We start from the raw sequence: 25,957 nt of genomic DNA, 5'->3' as shown, positions 1-25,957 counted from the left end.
AGTCTGATGTGTTGTCAGAACCCAAGAAGATAATAATGCCACAAAGGGGACAGGCAAAATAGAGAAGATTATTCTGAAGGGCCATTGCCTCAAAGGTGATAGGAGGCTCTTATTACTGAGACAGATCAGCTCTCCACCTCTGTCAAGTTTCTCGAGCATAAGATTGAGGACCTCACTGAGCCAGCCTTCTTTGCTTTCTTGATATCAGTGCCGGAGGAGGGGTTGGGACTAGGCTGATGGGGCTGAGGACCTCACTGAGCCAGCTTTCTTTGCTTTCTTGTTATCAGTGCCTAAGAAGGGGTGAGACTAGGCTATGGGACTGGGGTTGACATTATCCTATTAAGAGAAGAAAGAAATCTGTGAGGGGAATGGAGGATCTCACTCCAGCTGTCCCTGTTCCTGTCATGACTGCCTCCTCACTCTGTAGTTGCAAGGCCTCACAGAGGAGCCTCAGCTTTTTCTTATCTGTCTTTAGCATCAGCATTGACACAGAATCATACACTGTGAACTAGAGTGCTTCCACAGATAAGAGAAACGCTGCTTCAAAAGATCTCTAATTAATTCATTTGTTCTTCCTCAACAGACACTTAATAATCACCAGGATGGTTAAAAATCCTATGTGACAGACAATCTAGCATTCACCATTTAAAAAGTCTACATATTTACATCAGTATAAGATATTTGCCAAAATAATTAAAATTTTAGTTAAATGTGATGAGTATCTCTCCACAAATAAGGCACTAACTGAATTAAAGAAGATAAAAGATCACTTCACACGCACAAACACAGATCTTATTAATATGAACTGAAAATGAATCTTCAGAATCTATGTCTCTTACTTTAGAACATTGGGACTTTGGTTTATTTCCTTAAACTTATCCAAATTCCAAAGGTTATTGATTCTGTTACTGACCACATTTGTAAATTCTTTCTTTACACTAGAATGTAATCCTTTAGTATCTAAAGACTGAATACCATTTAAAGGGTCAAAGTATTCCCTTTCTATCTTCTCTTCTGTAGTGAGCTTCAACTCCTTCTTTCTCTTTTTTTATGTCTCCTTGTTAAGGAAACAAAAGTAAACAGTAGTTGAGTATGTCTGTTATTTCCATCAGGTTAACAAAAATGTGAGTCCTTCTTAAATAGTTCCCTGTTGTTCAGTTTATGTTCTTGTCTGATATTAACAAATATAATTTCTCTTATTGTCTTGGGCTATTTTCATAGATCTCAACACAGTCTGAGCTTTGGGGTATCCTGACTGTATTGCTACCGACCTAGATGCTCTGTCTAAGGCATTGTTTTCACATTAAGAGTTAATGATTCTAGTGATCTCTCTGCATCCATTCTCCTTCCTTTTGTATGTGTTGTTTTAAAGGCTAACTTCAGAGAGCTCTGTATGTAGTCAACGTGTTCTCTTTTCATCTTCTGTGGAATTATCAGAGTTTCACTGTAGAAAATCGCATCTTTTTCTGTATCAAATTTTATTTAAATGTATTTATATAACAAGAAAATGAATATGGATTTACTGGAAAATTAATACAGAAGTTTAGAAAATGAAAAGATAAATTTCCCCTGTGCCCACAACAATCCCAATTCCATACCCAGAGGTGGTTGTCATTTTTACTTTTATGTTTCAATATCACTTTATAGTGATGTTGTCATTTAAAATAGCAGAAGATATATTATCTGAGCATCTAAACACCATAACTTTCTAAAATTTTAGTATGTGTTTTGATCCTCAATTTATAAACCAATGTGCTATAATAATTGAAGAAATTATAGTTCATGATGCTATTGTGCTATATATAGGGCATGATGCTTGGTAAGGTGCTGCAGCTGGCCAGTTTGTGTTGCCATGGAATCCTGGTTCTTTGTTATATAGGCAGAGGATGTGGAACCTGAAAAAGGGGTTGCATTGACGTCACAGTATTGCTGCAGGAATGACATAGGTCATCTAGGATTATCATTTGTTCATATGTTTTGACAGTTAAAGCTCTTTTTAAACCAATGAATTGTTCAAGTATGTATTATATACCTTTTTTATTATAGTGCACTATGGATTTGAAATGTCTAAATGGTGGAAATAGCATTGAACTAAAACATGGCAAATCGTGATTATTATGGATAAATGATACATATGTGGGTATTTGGATTGTTAAAAAGCAAACACATGTATTGTGCAATTGTTTTCATGTTGGTACATATATAGTTCTGCATCACACTATTTAATAGCTGCATGGTATTGTACAGTTTACATATCACTTGTGATTTCAACAGGAAACACTTTTGGGCAGGTTGAAGGGAACCAGCAAAAGATGGTGAAATACCCAGGTATTGGCAAAGGAAGAAAGCAATTACCACCTCTCAGCCTGAGAAAACAAGGAGAGGATGTTCTTTGTTACTGGATTCCAGTGAATGCTGTGGTCATGGGAGGCTTGCCCAGACTTGCCCAGTGAGAAGTCTGGCCATCGGTAGAGGGATGCAGCCACTACCAACCACAGTATGGCAGAGAAGTAGCAGAGAAGAAATAAAAGAAATCCCCTCTCACTCTCCAATTCTGTTGTTGCCTCCATGCGCCAATCCAAACCGAAAGCCAGAAGGTAAGGGAACCCCACATCAGCCTCCAAGCAATAAGAGCAGGACAGAGAAAGGATATAGAGGGGCAATCACAGAACAGTGAACAATGCATGTGTAGAAGGGTCATTCTGTAAACCTTTATTAAAGGTTTAATTTTAACTCAGTGAATATTAAAATGTTCTGCAGAATGAGAGGCATCTTAAGTAAAGTAAAAAGACAAGTACCAGATTGGGAGAACATATTTGTAAAGATAAAAATATTATATATATATATATATATTTATATATATATATAAAATAGAAAAGATTACTAACCACAGTATATTTTTAAATGTTACTTTAAGAACAAACAACCTAATAAATCCATCTACCTATTAATATCTATCACTTCACAGTTACCTTGTGTGTGTATGTGTGTGTGTGTGTGTGTGTGTGTGTGTGGTAAAACCATCTGGACTCTACTCAGCAAATTTTCAGTATACAATACAATATTATTAACTATGATTCTGATGCTATACATTTGATCTCTAGACTTATTCATCCTATATAACTGCAACTCTGTAATTTTTGACCTACATATTTCCTTCCCCTCCCTCCTCTCACCTCACCCTTTGTAACCACTGTTCTACTCTGTTTCTTTTATGTATTCTATTTTTTAAAAAAATCTGTGTGTAAGTGAGATTATGCAGGGTAGTTTATTTCTTTCAATGTCTGGCTTATTTCACTTAGCAAAGTGTCCTTCAGGTTCATCTATGTTGTCACAAATGTCAGAATCTCTATCTTTCCAAAGACTAAATAGTATTTAATTGTGTGTGTGTATACACATACCACATTTTAAAATCCATTCATGTGTTAATAGATATTTAAGTTGATTCTATGTTTTGGCTATTGTAAATAATGCTGCAATAAGCGTGGTAGTACAAATATCTCTTGGACACGCTGATTTCATTTTCCTTTTGAAACATACTCAGTGGTGGAATTGCTGTATCATATGGTAGTTCTGTGTTTAACTTTTAAGGAACCTCCGTGCTGTGTTAAACTGGCTTTACCAGTTTACATTTCCAACAGTTGTATACAAGGGCTCTCTTTTCTCCACACTCTCACCAATACCTATCACTTGGTTGTTGTTTTTTTTCTCTCTTTTTAAGTTTTATTTTTAAAATAATAGCCATCCCAATAGGTGTGAGGAAATATTTCATAGTGGTTTTGATTTTTATTTCCCTGATGATTAATGATGTTGACGAATTTTTACATACCTTTTGGCGACTTGTATGTTTTCTTTGGAAAAAAAGCCTATGCAGGTCCTGTGCTCATTTTAAAATCTGGTTATTTGTGGTTTTGTTTTTTGGGGTTTTGTTGTTGTTTATGTTGAGTAGCATGAGTTTCTTATAGATTTTGGATATTAATCCCTTATCAGATATATAGCTTGCAAATATTTTCTCCCAATTTGTAGGCTGCCTTCTCATTTCATTGATTGTTTCCTTTACTCTGAAGGAGCTTTTTAGTTTGATGTAGTCCCACTTGTTTATTTTTGCCTTTTTTGCCTGATATTTTGGTGTGATATACAAAAAACTCATTGTCAAGGCCCTATGTTTTCTTCCAGGAATTTCATAGTTCCAGGTCTCACTAAAATAATGTTTAAATGATGAACGGTATTTGTCGTCTTAAGATAAATACTTGGTTATGTTTTACTACTTTTTTAATACAGTAAGAAATTTAATTTGATGATTTTAAAAAGTTGTATGTTCATATATGACATTGGGCTATTAGGTTTTTATGACAGTCTTGTGGTACTGGTGTTATAGTAGCCTTGTGATGAATAAGGAAACTTTTATCTTTATTCTTTGCTTTGAAACAGCTTAAATAAAAAGAATTATTAGACAACTCATAAGTCCCTTACAAGATGATTTGAATTCACAAAATAAGCAGATGTCATTTAAAACAGTACTACTTTGAAGTTTTTTTAGTTGTTTTTAGTTTGTTAAGGTATTTTACTTCATTTTCCCAGACACTTTTGTCACTTTTGTTGTCCTAGAAAATGATTATTTCATTTAAATTTTTAAATATATCACCATAAATTTGCACATAATGTTATCTTATTTTTCATTTTCTCAACATCTGTAATTATGTCCTGTTTCTTTTTCATAATGTTATTAGTGAATTGTCTTTTTTCCCATTAATCAGACTTGCTAGCATTTTTAATATTTTGTTTATTAATGTTTTCCAAAAATTCATCTTTTAGCTTTCTGTTGTTGTTGTTCTCTGTATTATGAAGCCTAGATTTATCATTGTTTATATTCGTTCTCTCTATATTCTTGGAATTATTTTCAACATCTCTAATTAAAGGTTTAATCTATTATTGATACTTTTCATTGCAGATAAGGCTATAATTGTTTCTCCCAGAATCAACTTGGAGGGAAAGATAGTAAAAGAATAGTTTTTATTTTTATTTATTTATTTTTTTATTATTATTATACTTTAAATTTTAGGATACATATGCACAACGTGCAGGTTTGTTACATATGTATACATGTGCCATGTTGGTGTGCTGCACCCATTAACTCATCATTTAGCATTAGGTATACCTCCTAATGCTATCCCTCCCCGCTCCCCCCACCCCACAACAGTCCCTGGTGTGTGATGTTCCCCTTCCTGTGTCCATGTGTTCTCATTGTTCAATTCCCACCTATGAGTGAGAACATGCGGTGTTTGGTTTTTTTGTCCTTGCGATAGTTTGCTGAGAATGATGGTTTCCAGCTTCATCCATGTCCCTACAAAGGACATGAACTCATCATTTTTTATGGCTGCATAGTATTCCATGGTGTATATGTGTCACATTTTCTTAATCCAGTCCATCATTGTTGGACATTTGGGTTGGTTCCAAGTCTTTGCTATTGTGAATAGTGCTGCAATAAACGTACATGTGCATGTGTATTTATAGCAGCATGATTTATAATCCTTTGGGTATATGCCCAGTAATAGGATGGCTGGGTCAAATCGTATTTCTAGTTCTAGATCCCTGAGGAATCGCCACACTGACTTCCACAATGGTTGAACTAGTTTACAGTCCCACCAACAGTGTAAAAGTGTTCCTATTTCTCCACATCCTCTCCAGCACCTGTTGTTTCCTGACTTTTTAATGATCTCCATTCTAACTGGTGTGAGATGGTATCGCATTGTGGTTTTGATTTGTATTTCTCTGATGGCCAGTGATGATGAACATTTTTTCATGTGTTTTTTGGCTGCATAAATGTCTTCTTTTGAGAAGTGTCTGTTCATATCCTTTGCCCACTTTTTGACGGGGTTGTTTGTTTTTTTCTTATAAATTTGTTTGAGTTCATTGTAGATTCTGGATATTAGCCCTTTGTCAGATGAGTAGGTTGCAAAAATTTTCTCCCATTCTGTAGGTTTCCTGTTCACTCTGATGGTGGTTTCTTTTGCTGTGCAGAAGCTCTTTAGTTTAATTAGATCCCATTTGTCAATTTTGGCTTTTGTTGCCATTGCTTTTGGTGTTTTAGACATGAAGTCCTTGCCCATGCCTATGTCCTGAATGGTATTGCCTAGGTTTTCTTCTAGGGTTTTTATGGTTTTAGGTCTAACATTTAAGTCTTTAATACATCTTGAATTAATTTTTGTATAAGGTGTAAGGAAGGGATCCATTTCAGCTTTCTACATATGGCTAGCCAGTTTTCCCAGCAGCATTTATTAAATAGGGAATCCTTTCCCCATTGCTTGTTTTTGTCAGGTTTGTCAAAGATCAGATAGTTGTAGATATGCAGCATTATTTCTGAGGGCTCTGTTCTGTTCCATTGGTCTATATCTCTGTTTTGGTACGAGTACCATGCTGTTTTGGTTACTGTAGCCTTGTAGTATAGTTTGAAGTCAGGTAGCATGATGCCTCCAGCTTTGTTCTTTTGGCTTAGGATTGACTTGGTGATGTGGGCTCTTTTTTGGTTCCATATGAACTTTAAAGTAGTTTTTTCCAATTCTGTGCAGAAAGTCATTGGTAGCTTGATGGGGATGGCATTGAATCTATAAATTACCTTGGGCAGTATGGCTATTTTCACGATATTGATTCTTCCTACCCACGAGCATGGAATGTTCTTCCATTTGTTTGTATACTCTTTTATTTCATTGAGCAGTCGTTTGTAGTTCCCCTTGAAGAGGTCCTTCATGCCCCTTGTAAGTTGGATTCCTAGGTATTTTATTCTTTTGAAGCAATTGTGAATGGGAGTTCAACTCATCATTTGGCTCTCTGTTTGTCTGTTATTGATGTATAAGAATCCTTGTGATTTTTGCACATTGATTTTGTATCCTGAGACTGCTGAAGTTGCTTATCAGCTTAAGGAGATTTTGGGCTGAGACAATGGGGTTTTCTAGACATTCAATCATGTCATCTGCAAACAGGAACAATTTGACTTCCTCTTTTCCTAATTGAATGCCCTTTATTTCCTTCTCCTGCCTGATTGCCCTGGCCAGAACTTCCAACACTATATTGAATAGGAGTGGTGAGAGAGGGCATCCCTGTCTTGTGCCAGTTTTCAAAGGGAATGCTTCCAGTTTTTGTCCATTCAGTATGATATTGGCTGTGGGTTTGTCATAGATAGCTCTTATTATTTTGAGATACGTCTTATCAATACCTAATTTATTGAGAATTTTTAGCGTGAAGCATTGTTGAATTTTGTCAAAGGTCTTTTCTGCATCTATTGAGATAATCATGTGGTTTGTGTCTTTGTTTCTGTTTATATGCTGGATTACGTCTATTGATTTTCGTATGTTGAACCAGGCTTGCATCCCAGGGATGAAGCCCACTTGATCATGGTGGATAAGCTTTTTGATGTGTTGCTGGATGCGGTTTGCCAGTATTTTATTGAGGATTTTTGCATCAATGTTCATCAAGGATATTGGTCTAAAATTCTCTTTTTTTGTTGCGTCTCTGCCCGGCTTTGGTATCAGGATGATGCTGGCCTCATAAAATGAGTTAGGGAGGATTCTCTCATTTTCTATTCATTGGAATAGTTTCAGAAGGAACGGTACCAGCTCCTCCTTCTACCTATGGTAGAATTTGGCTGTGAATCCATCTTGTCCTGGACTTTTTTTTGGTTGGTAAGCTCTTAATTATTGCCTCAATTTCAGAGCTTGCTATTGGTCTCTTCAGAGATTCAACTTCTTCCTGGTTTAGTCTTGGGAGAGTGTATGTGTCAAGGAATTTATCCATTTCTTCTAGATTTTCTAGTTTATTTGCATAGAGGTGTTTATAGTATTCTCTGATGGTAGTTTGTATTTCTGTGGGATCGGTGGTGATATCCCCTTTGTCATTTTTTATTGCGTCTCTTTGATTCTTCTCTCTTTTCTTCTTTATTAGTCTTGCTAGCGGTCTATCAATTTTGTTGATCTTCTCAAAAAACCAGCTCCTGGATTCATTGATTTTTTGAAGGGTTTTTTTTGTCTCTATTTCCTTCAGTTCTGCTCTGATCTTAGTTATTTCTTGCCTTCTGCTAGCTTTTGAATGTGTTTGCTCTTGCTTCGCTAGTTCTTTTAATTGTGATGTTAGGGTGTCAATTTTAGATCTTTCCTGCTTTCTCTTGTGGGTATTTAGTGCTATAAATTTCCCTCTATGCACTGTTTTTAAAGTGTCCCAGAGATTCTGGTATGTTGTGCCTTTGTTCTCATTGGTTTCAAAGAACATCTTTATTTCTGCCTTCATTTCGTGTACCCAGTAGTCATTCAGGAGCAGGTTGTTCAGTTTCCATGTAGTTGAGCAGTTTTGAGTGAGTTTCTTAATCCTGAGTTCTAGTTTGATTGCACTGTGGTCTGAGAGACAGTTTGTCATAATTTCTGATCTTTTACATGTGCTGAGGAGTGGTTTACTTCCAACTATGTGGTCAATTTTGGAATAGGTGTGGTGTGGTGCTGAAAAGAATGTATATTCTGTTGATTTGGGGTGGAGAGTTCTGTAGATGTCTATTAGGTCTGCTTGGTGCAGAGCTGAGTTCAATTCCTGGATATCCTTGTTAACTTTCTGTCTCATTGATCTGTCTAATATTGACAGTGGGCTGTTAAAGTCTCCCATTATTATTGTGTGGGAATCTAAGTCTCTTTGTTGGTCTGTAAGGACTTGCTTTATGAATCTGGGTGCTCCTGTATTGGGTGCATATATATTTAGGATAGTTAGTTCTTCTTGTTGAATTGATCCCTTTACCATTATGTAATGGCCTTCTTTGTCTCTTTTGATCTTTGTTGGTTTAAAGTCTGTTTTATCCGAGACTAGGATTGCAACCCCTGCCTTTTTTTCTTTTCCGTTTGCTTGGTAGATCTTACTCCATTCCTTTATTTTTAGCCTATGTGTGTCTCTGCACATGAGATAGGTTTCCTGAATACAGCACACTGATGGGTCTTGACTCTTTATCCAATTTGCCAATCTGTGCCTTTTAATTGGAGCATTTAGCCCATTTACATTTAAGGTTAGTATTGTTATGTGTGAATTTGATCCTATCATTATGATGTTAGCTGGTTAGTTTGCTCATTAGTTGGTGCAGTTTCTTCCTAGCCTTGATGGTCTTTACAATTTGGCATGTTTTTGCACTGGCTGGTACCGGTTGTTCCTTTCCATGTTTAGTGCTTCCTTCAGGAGCTCTTTTAGGGCAGGCCTGGTGGTGACAAAATCTCTCAGCATTTGCTTGTCTGTAAAGTATTTTATTTCTCCTTCACTTATGAAGCTTAGTTTGGCTGGAAATGAAATTCTAGCTTGAAAATTCTTTTCTTTAAGAATGTTGAATATTGGCCTCCACTCTCTTCTGGCTTGTAGAGTTTCTGCCGAGAGATCAGCTGTTAGTCTGATGGGCTTCCCTTTGTGGGTAACCCGACCTTTCTCTCTGGCTGCCCTTAACATTTTTTCCTTCACTTCAACTTTGGTGAATCTGACAATTACGTGTCTTGGAGTTGCTCTTCTCGAGGAGTATCTTTGTGGCATTCTCTGTATTTCCCGAATTTGAATGTTGGCCTGCCTTGCTAGATTGGGGAAGTTCTCCTGGATAATATCCTGCAGAGTGTTTTCCAACTTGGTTCCATTCTCCCTGTCACTTTCAGGTACACCAATTAGACGTAGATTTGGTCTTTTCACATAGTCCCATATTTCTTGGAGGCTTTGTTTGTTTCTTTTTATTCTTTTTCCTCTAAACTTCTCTTCACACTTCATTTCATTCATTTCATCTTCCATCGCTGATACCCTTTCTTCCAGTTGATCGCATCAGTTACTGAGGCTTGTGCATTCATCACGTAGTTCTGGTGCCTTGGTTTTCAGCTCCATCAGTTCCTTTAAGTACTTCTCTGCATTGCTTATTCTAGTTAGCCATTCATCTAATTTTTTTTTCAAAGTTTTTAACTTCTTTGCCATTGGTTAGAACTTCCTCCTTTAGCTCGGAGTAGTTTGATCTTCTGAAGCCTTCCTCTCTCAACTCGTCAAAGTCATTCTCCATCCAGCTTTGTTCCATTCCTGGTGAGGAGCTGCGTTCCTTTGGAGGAGGAGAGGCGCTCTGATTTTTAGAGTTTCTGGTTTTTCTGCTGTTTTTTCCCATCTTTGTGGTTTTATCTACCTTTGGTCTTTGATGATGGTGACGTACAGATGGATTTTTGGTGTGGATGTCCTTTCTGTTTTTTAGTTTTCCTTCTAACAGTCAGGACCCTCAGCTGCAGGTCTGTTGGAGTTTACTGGAGGTCCACTGCAGACCCTGTTTGCCTGGGTATCAGCAGCAGTAGCTGCAGAACAGCGGATATTGGTGAACCGCAAATGCTGCTGCCTGATCATTCCTCTGGAATTTTTGTCTCAGAGGAGTACCCGGCCGTGTGAGGTGTCAGTCTGCCCCTACTGGGGGGTGTCTCCCAGTTAGGCTACTCGTGGGTCAGGGACCCACTTGAGGAGGCACTCTGCTCATTCTCAGATCTCAAGCTGCATGCTGGGAGAACCACTACTCTCTTCAAAGCTATCAGACAGGGACATTTAAGACTGCAGAGGTTATTGCTGTCTTTTGTTTGTCTGTGCCCTGCCCCCAGAGGTGGAGCCTACAGAGGCAGGCAGGCCCCTTTGAGCTGTGGTGGGCTCCACCCAGTTTGAGCTTCCTGGCCACTTTGTTTACCTACTCGAGCCTGAGCAATGGTGGGCACCCCTCCCCCAGCCTCACTGCCGCCTTGCAGTTTGATCTCAGACTGCTGTGCTAGCAATGAGCTAGGCTCTGTGGGCATAGGACCCTCCGAGCCATGTGCGGGATGTAATCTCCTGGTGTGTCGTTTGTTAAGCCTGTTTGAAGAGTGCAGTATTAGGGTGGGAGTGACCCGATTTTCCAGGTGCCGTCTGTCACCCCTTTCTTTGACTAGGAAAGAGAATTCCTTGCACTTCCCAGGTGAGGCGATGCCTCGCCCTGCTTCGGCTCACGCATGGTGCACTGCACCCACTGTCCTGCACCCACTGTCCGGCACTCCCCTGTGAGATGAACCCGGTACCTCAGTTGGAAATGCAGAAATCACCCGTCTTCTGCATCGCTCACGCTGGGAACTGTAGACTGGAGCTGTTCCTATTTGGCCATCTTGGCTCCACCCTCAAGAATAGTTTTTAAAATGCTTTTCATTTTTACTTATATAATAGGATGAGGTTAAAATGGACGTTTTGGCTGAAACTCGAGAACACTAGAAATTACATCTCAGGGTAAGATAACCCTATAAAGAATAATTTTCAATCAGATATTTGTAAGACTTTAGGCAACTGTTAAGTTCCTCACTCACATCTAGGCTATTAAAGGGTCAGGAGTTTCATTTGGTAAAAATTGTGGAAGAGGATTTCTCTGGATTGAACTTTGCTGAAGAATCACAACCACTGTCTCTCTCCTACAAGGAAGAAGAGTGAGGAGTTTGCTACATCCCAGCTCCACATCACTGGAAATGGGATTTGAGGTAATGACTAGGAGTTTAACCTGTATTCCCTGCAGTTAGAAGGACAGTATTGGTAGCCTGGGGTCTGAGTCTAGACTAAGAAATGAACATGCAGCAGGCTGTAGTGGTTTTGTGGCAGCAAAATCATGACCTGAAGTTTGGTGGGAAGCTGTTCTTCCACAGTTTATTGGGAAAAAGACTTGTAATTTCCATTGACCAGACCTTCATAGAGAGGCAGCATCATCTCTCTCCCAATCCCTTCATCCAACCGCACCAGCTAATTAGAGGACCTGATTAGCTAGAAGGAGAGAAGGAGTAAAAGAATTAGGGGAGGAAAAAGAGGGGAAGCCAATCAGCTTCCTTTCTTTTGTTGTTTGTCCACAGTAGGACCTACAAGGGAAAGGGGGATATGCCTGAAATCAAGGTTAGATTCTTTGATGATGACATAGGACTGGACATTTTAGGGGCTGAATTGAGACTCTAGTAAATGAATGAACAGGAATTATTAATTTATAATAAATCGTGAGGCTACCCAGTTTACCTGAACAGGGAAAAGGGGAAGAAATATCTCCACTCATCAACTGTAAAAGACAATGAGAAGCAAAACTAGAATCACTTTATGACTACATCCCATGAGTCATGTTTGTTCCCATTATAGTTATATTGGCTTGACCTGATGATTTCTGAGAGGAAGTGTTAACATCCCCTATTATGGTTATGTCTTTACCTACTAGTCCTTATATAGTTCACTGGGTTTGCTTTAGCATATGTTAAACTGTTACAGCTAGGAGAATAAAGACTCCTAACTGTTTTATAAGTTCCTAGTAAAAGGGACTTTGTGTCATAATAAAATAGGCCTCTTTACCCAAATAATTGATCTTCACATTGAATTCTATTTTTTAATTATATCACTGTTGCCACAGCCATTTTTAAAATAAATTTTACTAGATATTTTTTTTCCATCCTACATTTTTAAACAGTGTATCATTTTGTTTGGGATGTGTCTCTTAAAAATACCATTTAGTAACTTGGGTTGTCTATTTGTTCTTATTCTGGTTTCTTTTTTCCTTTTTTCTTTTTTCTTTTTTCTGTTTAACTTTTTAAATTCAATCCAATGTTATCTCTGTCATAGAAAAATTTATACCTCCATATTTATTTTGATTACTTTTTATGTATTTTTAAATTGCTTATTATTTTTTAAAATTATTTTGACATAATGAAACAAACATGGTAAAACATTTTAGGTTATTTGTTTACCATGTAATTTTGTTACCTAAGTTGTTCTCTTGAGGTTTTGGTCAGGATTCTCTATCCCAAGTGGTAGATGCACGACTCAAAATAATATAAGAAAAAAATGTATATGTGTTTATGTGAAGGCTGAAGCAAGAAACACACAGAACAATGAGAGGAAAGTGACCCTCCGTGTCGACAGAATATCAGGGCTTAAATAGCATCAGAGTAATCTCTCCACCTTCCTGTCGCCAAGCTTATCTTCCTCTCTTTATTGTCATCATTTTCTCAGGCTTCTTATTCTTGCAGCTCCTACTTGAATAGTGATGGCTTTAGGCTCATATTCTTATAATTCTAAATCCTGTGGGATGAAAGAGTTCTTTTCATTTTTTCCTCAGTAAAACAAAATTGCAGGAAAGGATTCAGATGAACTTGGTTTTGATCACGTTAGAACAGTTACTGTTGCTTGGGAATTGAGTCATCATGACTGAAAAGAGAGGTTCTGTTAATGGGAGAATAAGGGAAGGAATTATATTGCAAGGGACGACATCACATTTTCAGGAGGCCTCATTGATTCTGGGTCAATCTTGTTTACTCTACTGTTTAGACATTTTACAATCCATATTCATTATCTTAGTGACTTACATTAAAATTTAATACATATTTGAAGATATACCTATTTTTCTACATATATCTTGATTGGTTTAAGTATCTAGATGCAGTTCCAAATGCAACAGAAACTTCAACTTGTTTCACATCTCCTTATGCACATCCACTCACATCCACCTACCATGTTGATATCACCTGAATTGTAACAGGTTCATATTGTTTTCAATTTTATGAGATATGTGCCAGTAATTATTTGCTTTCACTATACTCTTCCTGTCCTGTTACATTTCAATAATAGTAATGTTTTCTGGATTTGCCATGCTGTGGAAAATTATCAACCCAGCATGTGGTGTTCAGTTTCATTAATATGGCCAGTAACTGAAATTGCTTATGGGGAATTTCCAATGAGGTTATCTGCAGAAAATCTACTTACGGTAGACATTTGTTTGCATAGTAAACATGCACCTAAAAATTCTGGTGTTCATTAAATCTCTGCATAAACAAATTCAGTTTTAACTTCTGCATCAAAACACCTAATTCAGAAAGCTCCATTCACAGCATAGCCTAGAAGCTCAGGGAGGCCAAGGAGTTTGCTTCAGACATGCAGTGAGGCAGTGACAGACTGACCCTATAGATGCTGCATTCTAAACCTCATATCGTAATTATTTCCCCATTGCTACAAATCCACAAGTACATTGCTTGTAGGATCACGAGAAAAATATGGCTGAAGGTAAGTTTTTTCCTGGATTCTGAAATAATCAGAGAATATTCCTAGGATTTATATTCTATATTTCCATTTCAAAGGCTTTCCTTTTCAGCTAGCCTGTCTCTCATCTGCGTCTCTCATGTTGCTGTTATCCTGTGGAATTAATATCCTGTACCCAGCTTATGGAGGACAAAAGAAGCAAGCAGATTTGAGTATCTTCTGTGAGGCAGGAAGTGCAAACAGCAATGATACCAAGTTCTAGAACAGAAATTCCTAAAGTGGCTAGATGGCCTGCTTCTTCAAGGCCCGTTACCACCTGTCCAGCACGCTAGCAACTGCTGGCCCTGGAAGCAGGTATCCCTTTAAGGGCTGGAATTGTGCAGGCTGGCGACCACTATTTGGAGATGCTGCAGTTTGAAAAGCCCTCTCCAAGTGTGCATTAGTAATCTGGATCAGGTCCACACCAGCTCTGCCAACCTCATTACTGCCAGGAAGGAAGCAGCTTCTCAAATGAAAGGAAGATAAATAAGCTTCTTTGTCATAGCAATTCCAGACAAAAATAGCTGAAATGTTATTTAATATGAAACAAATTACTGTAGAGGTTCTGAGCTTGTCATTTTAAGGAATCTGTGTCTAGGTACTTAAGTCTTCAAAAAAAAATTAAGATACAATATGCTGTGTATGGAGCAATTTCAAATGGCCCCTTTTTTGGTATAATACTTAATTTTACTTTCAATTTTTAATTATAGCTTATATTTGATGATAATTCTTATTTCCATTATTTGAATCTCCTTTTACCCATAGCTACTCAAACAGGATGGGGACATCTCTGGAGTTAACAAGACCAAGAAAATATTTTTGTTAAGATTAGTCTCTTTCTGCAAGCACTAAGCGGTAATAGATATTACCAAACATAAGCATAATCATGGCAAGAAAAACATCAATTTCATAATCATGAAACTCCAGGCAGGTGCAGTGGCCCACGCCTGTAATCCCAGCACTTTGGGAGGCTCAGGTGAGTGGATCAGTTGAGGTCAGGAGTTCGAGGCCATCCTGGCCAACATGGTGAAACCCTGCCTCTACTAAAAATACAAAAATTAGCCAGGCATGGTGGTGAGCACCTGTAATCCCAGCTACTCAGGAGGCTGAGGTGGGAGAATCACTTGAACCTGGGAGGTGGAGGTTGCAGCGAGCGGAGATCCTGCCACTGCACTCCAGCCTAGGCAACAGAGCGAGACTCTCTCTCAAAAAAAAAAAAAAGAAGAAGAAGAAGAAGAAGAAGAAAAGAAAAGAAATTCCAGTTACTTTTCTCCATCCTTGACTTATCTCATTTTTTTTCTTTGAAGTTCAAGTAACTCCTGTGTTTGCTACTTTGCACCTTGCATCGGAACTTCAGTTCTCCTTGTTGCAGTTGTTTTGTGTTGGGAAACCATGACATTAATGATGCTTGAAGGTATCTTCAGGGGTTTTTTGCTCCTGGGCTTTTCCTGATGTCCAGGAATGCCAGTTTGGGTGATTGTGGCTGGCAACACTAAAAAGGGATATGGGCCCTTCTTACTGAGGCCGTGAGACCTGACAGGTAGGTGATGTACAGGAACTCAACTACTAATCAAGAACTTAACTGATGGAAGCGACCTAGTCTCTGCTTTCTACTACCTTCTCTTTCTGAAATTGATGTTAAGGGACACCTGTACCCTCTCATTCTTGCTGCAAGGCTTGGCCAGACTCATCCTATTTCACATATATTCAGAAAGGTGAGCTGTTACTATTTGCAGATGGACTGAACTTAACTTCTGTATTTATGATGGCTTTGATTTTTTTCTTCCTACAGCAAACCTAAACTGTACTATATCTCTCTGTTTGTTCTTATAATAGCTTCCTAATAAGGGCCTATCTTCTTGTCTATATTATAAGTCCTCAGAAGACAGGGGCTTTGTCCTTCTTATTTCTAAGATGCTAGACATAGAGTAATTGGTCAGTGAAACCTTGCTGATTTAAATAATTCAAAGACCCAAAGTGAACTTTATAGAGGCAGGTTGGATAACACCCCGAAATATTTCTTACTCTATTATTGACTGTTCTTAGTGATTTATTAATTGTAAAAAAAATGAGCATGCTACTTGGAATTCTTTAGATTTGCATTTAAATTCCAAATCTATAATTTATCTGTGGTATGATCTACACTTCTTGAGTTTCAATTTCCTTGTCTTTCAGATGGGATAATGATGCCTCTTTTAGGAGATTTTCATAAGGATTAAACTAAGTGACATAAAACTGTTAAGCATTATATCTGTCATATACAAGATGAATTTCCACATCTTAACAATAAAAAGATCTGTTAATTATTTTTGTATTTCTTTGTTATATTTTAAATTAAAACTATTAATAACCATTATTTTTTAAATTATGCTTGTCTTTCTCAAGCACATTTAAATTTTATAAGCTTTTATTCTCTAAGTGGAAGCTAAATTTAGTCAATAGTTTTCTAAGAAAAGAGTTTTTGATCTATGGTAATACGTTAATATTAAATGTTTAAATTAAGTAACAAAGAAATATAATTATTACTTAACTGTTTGTCATAAGTTTACCTAGATTTACATTGCAAAAATTATTTTAACAAGAAATAAAATTATGGTCATTTTTGGTTTTATTCCTATATCAATATTTGTGTATATAACTACAAAATTTTCAGTTGAAACAGTCAAATAATCAATGCATTCTTTTTACATTGATTATTCTAGTGTATTAATTCTTACTTGTCTAATGCAATATATATTTATTCTAGTTTTGTATTGATTATATACTTCAATGCAAAAGAATTCTTGTGGTTCCCTTACGTTTAAATTCTCCAAGGTAGCATAGAAGGCCCATCACAATATTGCCCCATGCTGTTGCTGTCTTCAGATTCATCTTTCAACTCCATCCCACATTTAGTTTCTTCTTCAAGCACAATGGCACAATGAATTTCTTTATTTCTTTTTTTTTTTTTTTTAGGCAGAGTCTTGCTCTGTTGCCCAGGCTGGAGTGCAGTGGCACCATCTCGGCTCACTGCAACTTCTGCCTCCTGGGTTCAAGTGATTCTCCTGCCTCAGCCTCCTGAGTAGCTGGGATTACAGGCGCCCGCCACCACGCCCAGCTAATTTTTGTATTTTTAGTAAAGATGGGGTTTTACCATTTCGTCCAGGCTGGTCTTGAACTCCTGACCTCAGGTTATCTGCCAACCTCGGCCTCCTAAAATGCTGGGATTACAGTTGTGAGCCACCACGCCATGCCATGCACAAGGAATTTCAAGACATCCCCATTTACTGTGTCCCCTTATGTGTCTGTGCCTTTGCCGATTTCTTCCACATTCAATCTCTATCCTCCTTTCTCTATCTGCTGAATGATTTTTTCTTCAAGAACTAATTGAAATGTCACTTCCTCCACCCTCAGATAATTAGTTCCTTCCTCCTCTGCACTTCTACTGTATTCTTCTCATAAAATTATTATAAAATTTAGGTTATCTATAATTGATTTGTCTGCCTATCTATTAATATCTATCAGAAGCTTCTAGAGAAGAGACCATATCCTATTCATCATTGCTTCCCCATAGCCTGGCACAGTACCAACAAAAATATTGTGAATATGTCCAAGTAAATTTGTCTTTTTTTTTAAATGTGTGAGGTGTGGCATAAATGTTTTAATTCTCATTATTTAGATGATAATATGAGGTTAGGTTCCAAAATCACAGAGTAAATCAAAGCCCTAGCTGACATCAGAGAGCAGGCATCCTGACAACTGATGCACTGCCTTTTGCTCTCTACCAATGAATTTCACTCACATCTTCGTTTCATAGAAACACAACAGTTATATTTGTTTTTTTTTTTTTTTGGTTCCTTTTGTTTGTTTGTTTTTGTTTTTGTTTGTTTGTTTTTGAGACGGAGTCTTGCTCTGTAGCCTAGGCTGGAGTGCAGTGGCGCAATCTTGGCTCAGTGCAAGCTCTGCCTCCCGGGTTCAGCCATTCTCCTGCCTCAGCCTCCCGAATAACTGGGACTACAGTCACCCCCCGCCACGCCACACCCGGTTAATTTTTTTTGTATTTTTAGTAGAGACGGGGTTTCACCGTGTTAGCCAGAGTGGTTTCGATCTCCTGACCTCAAGATCCGCCCGCCTTGGCTTCCCAAAGTGCTGGGATTACAGGCGTGAGCCACAGCGCCTGACCTATATTTCTTTTTTAAAAGAAGATCACTATGGAATAAGTTTTCCTGTTCCACAAGGAGAAGAGATATCCTATGTCAGACAGGTATATCTTCGTAGGTGCAATCCAAGGAAATATTTGCCAAGACAACTATACATTTTTAGTGTAAATGGATTTTCATTTATACATATTATTTCTTTAAAAAACTTTAGGTACACTGTATACATGTGAAATTATACTTTATAATTGGCAGTAAGGAAACAGACACGTATAAAGTACACAATTTGGTAAGTTTTGACACATATATACCTCTATGAAACTATCAACACATCAAGATAATGAACATGTCCACAATCCCCGAAAATTTTCTCATGTCCATTTATAATCTGTCCTACATCTTTATAATCTATACTACCCTGTCCCCAAAATGACAGTGCTTGCATTGAAGTATTTTCTCTCTCTACCTATTATTTTGCTTTTTCTAGAGTTTTACATAAGTAGAATCATACAGTATGTACTCTTATTGTTTGGTTTGCCATTTTTCACTCAATTTAATTATTTTGAGACTCATATATTCTGTTACACATATCAACAATAATCCTTAAAGTCACTTCTTCCTCTAACCTGCTGAGATTTCAAGGAAGAGAAACCATATTTATCTGTTATCTTAAAATATCATTATATTTACTCACATTTATCATGTTACCCCAACTCTTCCTTATATTCTTAGGCCATCAGTCACATTTCTTTCATTGTATTGTCCTTTGAGATATAATCTTCTTTATTCAATCACATATCTTGGAAAGGAAGGATTTGAAAAGCTATCCTCAAGTATTTACAGAGGGAAAGTTATTTCTTGACTCGGTCAAATCCATATATCTTCTAATGTTCTGTCAGTGCTGCTCTCAGTTGATTGTATTACACAGCATTCAGTGGGGCCTTTGCAGACTTCCTTATTTTCTAATTGATCTCAATGTTTCTTCATTTTATCTGTAATGTAACCCTGTATCCTCTTTCTTCCCCTTATCTATCAACCCAGCAGAAAATTATCCCAAAATTCTCCAAACAAGTTCCCTCAAGTGGATTCTTCTCATCGTTACCACTCGTGATTCATATCTTCATTTCCTCGCATTATTTCTTCACAAATTAGTCCTCTGGTTGTGCCATAATACTGTCATTCATCCCTGTAACTTTCTTTTTTGTGCCTTTATTTTTCAGAGAAAGAAAGAATAGGATGCTACTGGTAGAATACATTCCTTTTTATCTGAAACGCCCTTTCTCTTTCAGTCCGATTTTTACCAACCATTTTTTCTAGAATCACTTTGAATTTCGTCTAAATCTTCTGAAATACATCCATTTTAAATCTATGCCTCTTTTCTATGTGTTCCCATAACAATTCATATGCACCCCTATTACACATTTTATGTCATTAATTTCGTGGTAGGATGAAGTTTGCATAAGACTATTTTCTTGTTTCTTGCAAGCTCTCAAATGACAGCTTTGAATCTGTGAAAATGCCTTGCCCTCATGGGATGGTCAATAAATATTATTTCAGCAGCTTCAGTGTAATTCTCCCTTCTCAAAGGAGATGTAAAAGCTTCCATGGTGACCTTCCCATCATCCCTATTCATGGACCAGTAGGTTTCTTTATAGTCAATTTCCTTCTTTTCCTCGCCATTTTTTTCTTCCTTTAAAGTTATAGTTAATTAATATATGAAGGTGGGGAAAAGGGGTGACAATGTAGTAAGAGGTGATTAAAGATTAAAAGTGGGCAGGGAGGTTGTCAGATTTAATAAAAATTCTTTTCCAGCAATTTCTCCCATCCTATACCTTGAAATTACATGAGGAGAAGCAATATTATTTCTTCTGTTTAATGGTATACTACTTTGATCTATTTTAAATTATCACCCATTATTAACACATCATTTTACAAATCCACCTCTGCATAGTCCCCAATACCTTTGTCCTGCTTGCAAAAAAAGAAAAAACAGTTAACTTTCCCCCAAAGTTAGGAAATAAAATTTAAAAAGTTTAATTTCTATAATACTTTAAAATGCATTCTATGGCTTGGAGTGATTCACCTAACTGTCCTGAATTCACATTTTTAAAAAGAGAACTGCTTGGGCAAGTCACTTCACCTTTTGGGGATTTCAATTCTTCACCTGAAAAATGAAGGGGTTTGAAGTAGATGATCTCTGAAGTTCCTTTTATCTTCAAGTCTCTATAAATCTGTGACTCTAAAATATGTGCCTTGCAGGAATCCTGCAAGAATTAATGCTTTTAAAATAATTTAAGACTCAAAGATGAAAGGTTTTATACTAGTGCCAAAAACTATTTTTATCAAGCGAAGCATGCCAGGGAAGTCTGTTGTGCCTGGGGATAGCTGCTGTCAGTGGCATCCCCAGCACTGCCTGTGCCCAACACAGCCCCAGATAGTAAAAGAGAATAAAAAGAATTCCACAGAGGGAGCCAGAAATCATAGTGAGTGGAGAGCACAGACATTCCTAAAATTCAAACAAGACCATGATACATGATAACATGATATACTGATAATATGTTCGTGCAAAAACTAGTGCTTACAGAGAAGTGTTCATGAAAGGATCTTGCCTTGGTGGCCTCACTGAGACCCATTCCCATGCTAGGGAAGGGGAGTTGGTGACATTCCTGTGTATCTGCTTGCACAGTGTATTCCCCATGACGTTTTATGCTAAACCTGTCCTGTCCTGACCCTTTCTGCCCTATCACAGCAAACCTGTTTGGTACCCCCATTTTGGCTACCTAAGTAACTAAAGTGATTATCCAATCATTGATTAAGATGTCAAGACCATTTATAAATTATTAATTTGATTTTTCTCATTTTGCCTGAGAGTAGTCAATGAGCTATCAAAAATTATAATTAATACATAGTTAGTCCAGGACTGAATACCAGGTCTATGGCTCATAACCAGTAGTTATTTCACCACAGCTTATTATCTTAATATTCTCTCATCTTAATACCTCTCAATACTGGCCGATGGATCCCCTAGCTGCATATTGACAAAATGCTTCAATGTTTAAATGCAAAATAAAAAATAGATAGTTTAGTATTTGGTAAGGCCAGTGGAGAAGATATTGTAAATTAACACTGCAAGAGCTGTTATGAATTCTTCCACACCATCTAGGGATAATAAAGGAACCATGGCTAATAGGCTTATCTCATCAGTGGATTCCTATTTTAATTTCTCCCTGGGTTTCATTTTCCAAATATGGAATGGGAAAATTAGAATTAAAACCACTGAACTCAGAGAATCATTTTTGTTCAGGGTAGATGAACCCCAACAAATTTAGGACAGAAGACAGATGTATGAAATATATTAGAGTAAGTTGTCTCGTGAAATTTTATCTAGGTCTTTATTGTGTGTGTGTATGTGTGTGTGTGTATGTGTGTGTGTGTATGTGTATGTGTGTACTCTTAATCTGGGCATCTTAGAAAATAGAATTTCTCGTGGTGGCTCATGCCTGTAATGCTAGCACTTTGGGAGCCCGAGGCAGGTGGATCATCAGAGGTCAGGAGTTCGAGACCAGCCTAGCCAACATGGCAAAACCCCGTCTCTACTAAAAATACAAAAAAAAATTAGCTGGGCATGGTGGCACGGGCCTTTAATCCCAGCTACTCAGGAGTCTAAGGCAGGAGACTCACTTGAACCCAGGAGTGGAGATTGCAGTGAGCCGAGATTGTGCCACTACACTCCATCCTGGGCAACAAAGCGAGACTCCATCCAAAAAAGAAAGAAAGAGAGAAAGAAAGAGGAAGGGAGGGAGGGAGGGAGGGAAGGAAGGAAAGAAAACAGAAAAGAAAAAGAAAGTATAATATCTGCTTCAATAGACCTTGGGTGTGGTCCAAAGTTCTGTACTCAGGTGATGCTGATGCTACCAGTCTGAGGACCACATATTAAATAGCAGTGCTCTACCTTTAGCATGCTTCAGAATTACCTGAAGAAATTCTAATTTTGCAGAGATTCTGATTCAGAAGGTCTGGGTGGGGCCTAAATATCTATCTAACAAGCTCCCATGTATTTGATTGAGGTCCATATTTTGAATACTACTACTATGAGCATTCCTTTTATAATTTCATTTTTATTCATTTTTATTATTTTATTATTATTTTTTATTATTATTACCTTTACTAGCCACTCAACAATGACAATAATTATGCTTTTTGTTTTAGGTTAAGAAGAGTAAAAGCCATAAAAAATTTAAAAGGTTAAAATGAGTGCCTAATGCATACTAACATATAATGATTTTTGTTAATCTGTATGTTTCCTCACATCAGTAATCCTAAATGATGATAATTTTGCCAAGGTTTACCTTGCTATTGGTGACCATCAACCCAGAAGTAGATGTAAGTTATCAGAAATTGCTTACTGTGAAATTTTCAAATAAAATTTTCAAATAAAATTTAATAGAAAAAGCGATTTCAGGTTCACACTTGTTTGTAAGTGTGAAACTGAAAACTTTGCCACAAATTAAAGTTGTAAAAAAATGGACTCTATTTAAATAATGTGGGAGCATGCTCTTTTAAAGGATGACTGAACGTGCTATTGTGACTTTACATCTGTCATGAATGAAGCAATCAAATCAAGACTGAAGTGAAACTGTTGATGAATATTACATGTGTCTTCTTTTAATGATTTGAACATTTATGGAGCCCAGCTGCCTACCAATGCGCATTCTACATTATGATGTATTGTCTGCATTATTGAATGGCCAGCCCCATGCACGGTGATTTCAGGGGATTCAGAAGCCCTTTATACCCTGGTTTTCTCGTGAAACAGTTATTTTACCCCTTCTGAGATTTTTTTTTCCAGCCTAGTGTAGAAAAAATCATAGGCTTTGGAATTAGGCAGGTCTCAGTTAAAATCCTGGCACAGATATTGACAGAATAACCTCTATGATTCTGCTGCAAAATGGCACCAAAAATATCTGCTTGACAGTGTTGTTGTGAGCATTAGAAACAATATAAGTTAACTATCCATTACTTAAGTAAAATGTTCGGCAGATAGCAGCTATTTACTATGGAGGGGCAATGTTTTCATAGGCTTCCCTGAGAATGACGTTCCCTCCAGACAAATCCAATGATCATGTAAAAATGACAAATGTTAATCTAAAAATATTGACACAATATATAGTAGATATGCAGTGACTATAATAATTGCATGCATTTCTGAATGCATATTTACTTAATATTTTTCATAATTAATTTTGGAATTTCTAACACTAAATGCATCACCTACTCTGAACTTTAAACAGACAATAATAAATTTGTATAACACTGTAGATTCTGAATTAACTGTATCAGATATTATGTTAAGAACTAATATATATTGCATAGTCTACATCTAGTGATAAGGACTGAAACTGGAGAAATAGTTCTGAGAAACTATATAGAACAGTGATGAACATTTAAAAATAAAATCAAATTGAGTCTTCAACTAAAAGAGACTTCTGAATCAAAGAAGGCAGATGGAAAATACGAAAGAAAGAAAAGAATAGAATTTTTAAAAGAGGCAAAGTAATTACAGGTAGTGCAGAATGTGGACAAATGGCAAGCCCTAATCATTAAGGTAGGCATAAGATGAGACACACATGGGACATAAAATTGTGATTCACAACTTTGGGAATAAGAATTTCAAATGCAATTGATAAATACATTGAATGCTTTCACAATGAATAGGTTTTGCTCAACTGGCTTTGTGAGATATCAAATACTATTTAAAGAGCTGATTAAGTGGATTGACGTTTAAGAACAAAAAACTACAAAATCATATACAAGATTGCAATTCAATAACGGGTCAATAAAGGTTAAAATTAAAACAATAATCTATACATTAGTTTTCAAAAGATTCATTGTTGGTCTCTAATCGTACATATCTGAATATGGTTATTAGTTGTCTTTACAATGACTATATGACTAAATGCATTAACATGTGTTAAGATTTTATTATCTATCACTAAAATCTGTTAAAACAAAAATTTCTGTGTGGTTATCGCTATTGTGATTCTTCTTTATCCCACAGAGACAGAATAACAGGATTTCAACCTATTCCACTACTTAATTTGTGATCATAATTTCCCAGAGTCTCAGAGTTCAATATTATGGAAAGTATTAAATAAAGAATACTTAGATTATTCCTAAAACCATGTCTGCTTTAGAATACAGACATGGTAAATTCTTCTGCTATCACTACTATTTAATTGCTATTAGTCTTTTGGAAATTTCTGCCCTTGCTGCTACTGATCTCACTCCATTATGGCACTGGTGTACCTCTGTCTTCAACATAGGAAAGCTTGCATCATAGTAATGATTACCCCCATTCCTATTTATTTATTTATTTGTTTTGAGATGGAGCTTCACTCTTGCTGCCTAGGCTGGAGTGCAATGGTGTGATTTTTGGCTCAATGCAACCTCCGCCTCCTGGGTTCAAGCGATTCTCTTGCCCCAGTCTCCTGAGTAACCTGCATTACAGGCGCCCGCCACCACACTCAGCTAATTTTTTGTATTTTTAGGAGAGACAGGGTTTTACCAGGTTGGCCAGGCTGGTCTCGAACTCCTGACCTCAGGTAATCCACCCGCCTCGGCCTCCCAGAGCGCTGGGATTACAGGAGTGAGCTACTGCACCTGGCCATCCCCCATTCCTTTAAACTAGAGATTTGGGCAAAGCTTATGTGACAGGAGAAAAGAGAGCTAATTCTGACTGTGTGAAACATGTAAATTTTCACTGCACTAAAACCACAGCGTTTTAGTTCATCGAATGCTTAATGGTATTCCTACAAGATTTGTCAGACTTAGCTGGATTTTTGCTGATTTTCATATCACAGCTTTTAAGAGATAAGTCACCTTCAATAACTTTCACATTTACACAATCATCCAAATTTAGGAGCATTCATTTTATGCACAGCTTTTGTTTGCTCTATTCCATAGTCGTCTTTAACACTATCAGTTGACAGTCATTAAACGGAGCCCAAAAGGTCAATTGCTTTTTATGAAGAAAGGAAATATTGTAAACTACAAATCACTTACCCATTTAAGAACTTAGGATTTTCATTAGATTTCCTTAAACCAAATCAACCTATTTGTTGAGCATCTAAATTATGTTAAGAGAGAAAAATTAATCAGTTCTGATTTAGGGGACCCACCCTTCCAAACGGGGCACACTAAAAGGCTGTCAAATGAGACCTCTAAAAAACACAAAGAATATTGCTTTGTGTTTTATCAGATCAACAAAACACTACATGCTACCTTATAAAACTTATGGGAAATGGCAAGGAATCTATGATCCTGAGTTCCCTTATTGATGGTCTTGTAACCTAGCATGCCCACTTAAAATTTTATTTTGATTTTTGAAATAAAATTATGGCTACAGTCTTACTTTACTGCAGCCAATTGGGTTATATATTTTTAAATAACATTAATATTCTTACTGATAAGTTAGTTGTTTTTATGTCAACATGTTCTGTATACTACATGATTTAACTAAAATCTAACTGCTTAAGGACCACCATATAATTGTTCCATTAAGACTAAATATACATAGATAAAATGACTGACCCTTGTCTTACTGGCCTAACTCAAAACTGAGAGCTGAAGGAAAGGAGAGTTCACACAACAGTAGGTTAATTCTTTTAGATAGGTATGACTTTTTCCATTTGCTTTGTCAGCTTCCTATTTAAAATAAATATGCAGGCTTTGAAGAACGA

General features: G+C 37.0%; 1 protein-coding gene across 4 annotated transcripts in view, besides 4 other annotated features; it reads left to right on the top strand.

Annotated features, from left to right (window-relative positions):
• Nucleotides 1,725–2,924: an enhancer, noted in NCBI's record as "MED14-independent group 3 enhancer chr6:48078458-48079657 (GRCh37/hg19 assembly coordinates)". NCBI's record gives its function as "activates an origin of replication core promoter dependent on BRD2, BRD4, P300/CBP and CDK7 cofactors, and independent of MED14, by STARR-seq in HCT116 cells {active_cell/tissue: HCT116}" and the evidence as "EXISTENCE:reporter gene assay evidence [ECO:0000049][PMID:35650434]".
• Nucleotides 1,725–2,975: a biological region, named in NCBI's record as "MED14-independent group 3 enhancer GRCh37_chr6:48078458-48079657".
• Nucleotides 1,974–2,473: an enhancer, noted in NCBI's record as "NANOG-H3K27ac hESC enhancer chr6:48078909-48079408 (GRCh37/hg19 assembly coordinates)". NCBI's record gives its function as "activates a minimal SCP1, AML or CMV promoter by ChIP-STARR-seq in primed H9 embryonic stem cells {active_cell/tissue: H9 hESC(primed)}" and the evidence as "EXISTENCE:reporter gene assay evidence [ECO:0000049][PMID:30033119]".
• The window catches only part of PTCHD4 (patched domain containing 4), a 254,525-nt gene continuing 231,016 nt past the window's right edge, over nt 2,449–25,957 (top strand). For 3 of the 4 annotated variants that reach the window (XM_011514639.3, NM_001384253.1, NM_001410910.1), the window contains exon 1: nt 2,449–2,597. Coding sequence is in view for 1 of the 4 variants with exons in the window: in XM_047418830.1 (XP_047274786.1) it covers nt 2,477–2,597; nt 11,461–11,519 (180 nt within the window). In the remaining 3 variants the exon portion in view is untranslated. Of the gene's footprint in view, nt 2,598–11,460; nt 11,520–25,957 lie in introns of all 4 variants that reach the window. The other variant, XM_047418830.1, reaches the window with a different exon arrangement.
• Nucleotides 2,474–2,975: an enhancer, noted in NCBI's record as "NANOG-H3K27ac hESC enhancer chr6:48078407-48078908 (GRCh37/hg19 assembly coordinates)". NCBI's record gives its function as "activates a minimal SCP1, AML or CMV promoter by ChIP-STARR-seq in primed H9 embryonic stem cells {active_cell/tissue: H9 hESC(primed)}" and the evidence as "EXISTENCE:reporter gene assay evidence [ECO:0000049][PMID:30033119]".

The sequence above is a fragment of the Homo sapiens genome, chromosome 6 (genome assembly GCF_000001405.40).
Source record: "Homo sapiens chromosome 6, GRCh38.p14 Primary Assembly".
In the NCBI taxonomy this organism is placed as follows: domain Eukaryota; kingdom Metazoa; phylum Chordata; class Mammalia; order Primates; family Hominidae; genus Homo; species Homo sapiens.
The sequence above is the reverse complement of the archived record's forward strand: the minus strand, read 5'-3'. Positions and strand labels throughout refer to the sequence as shown.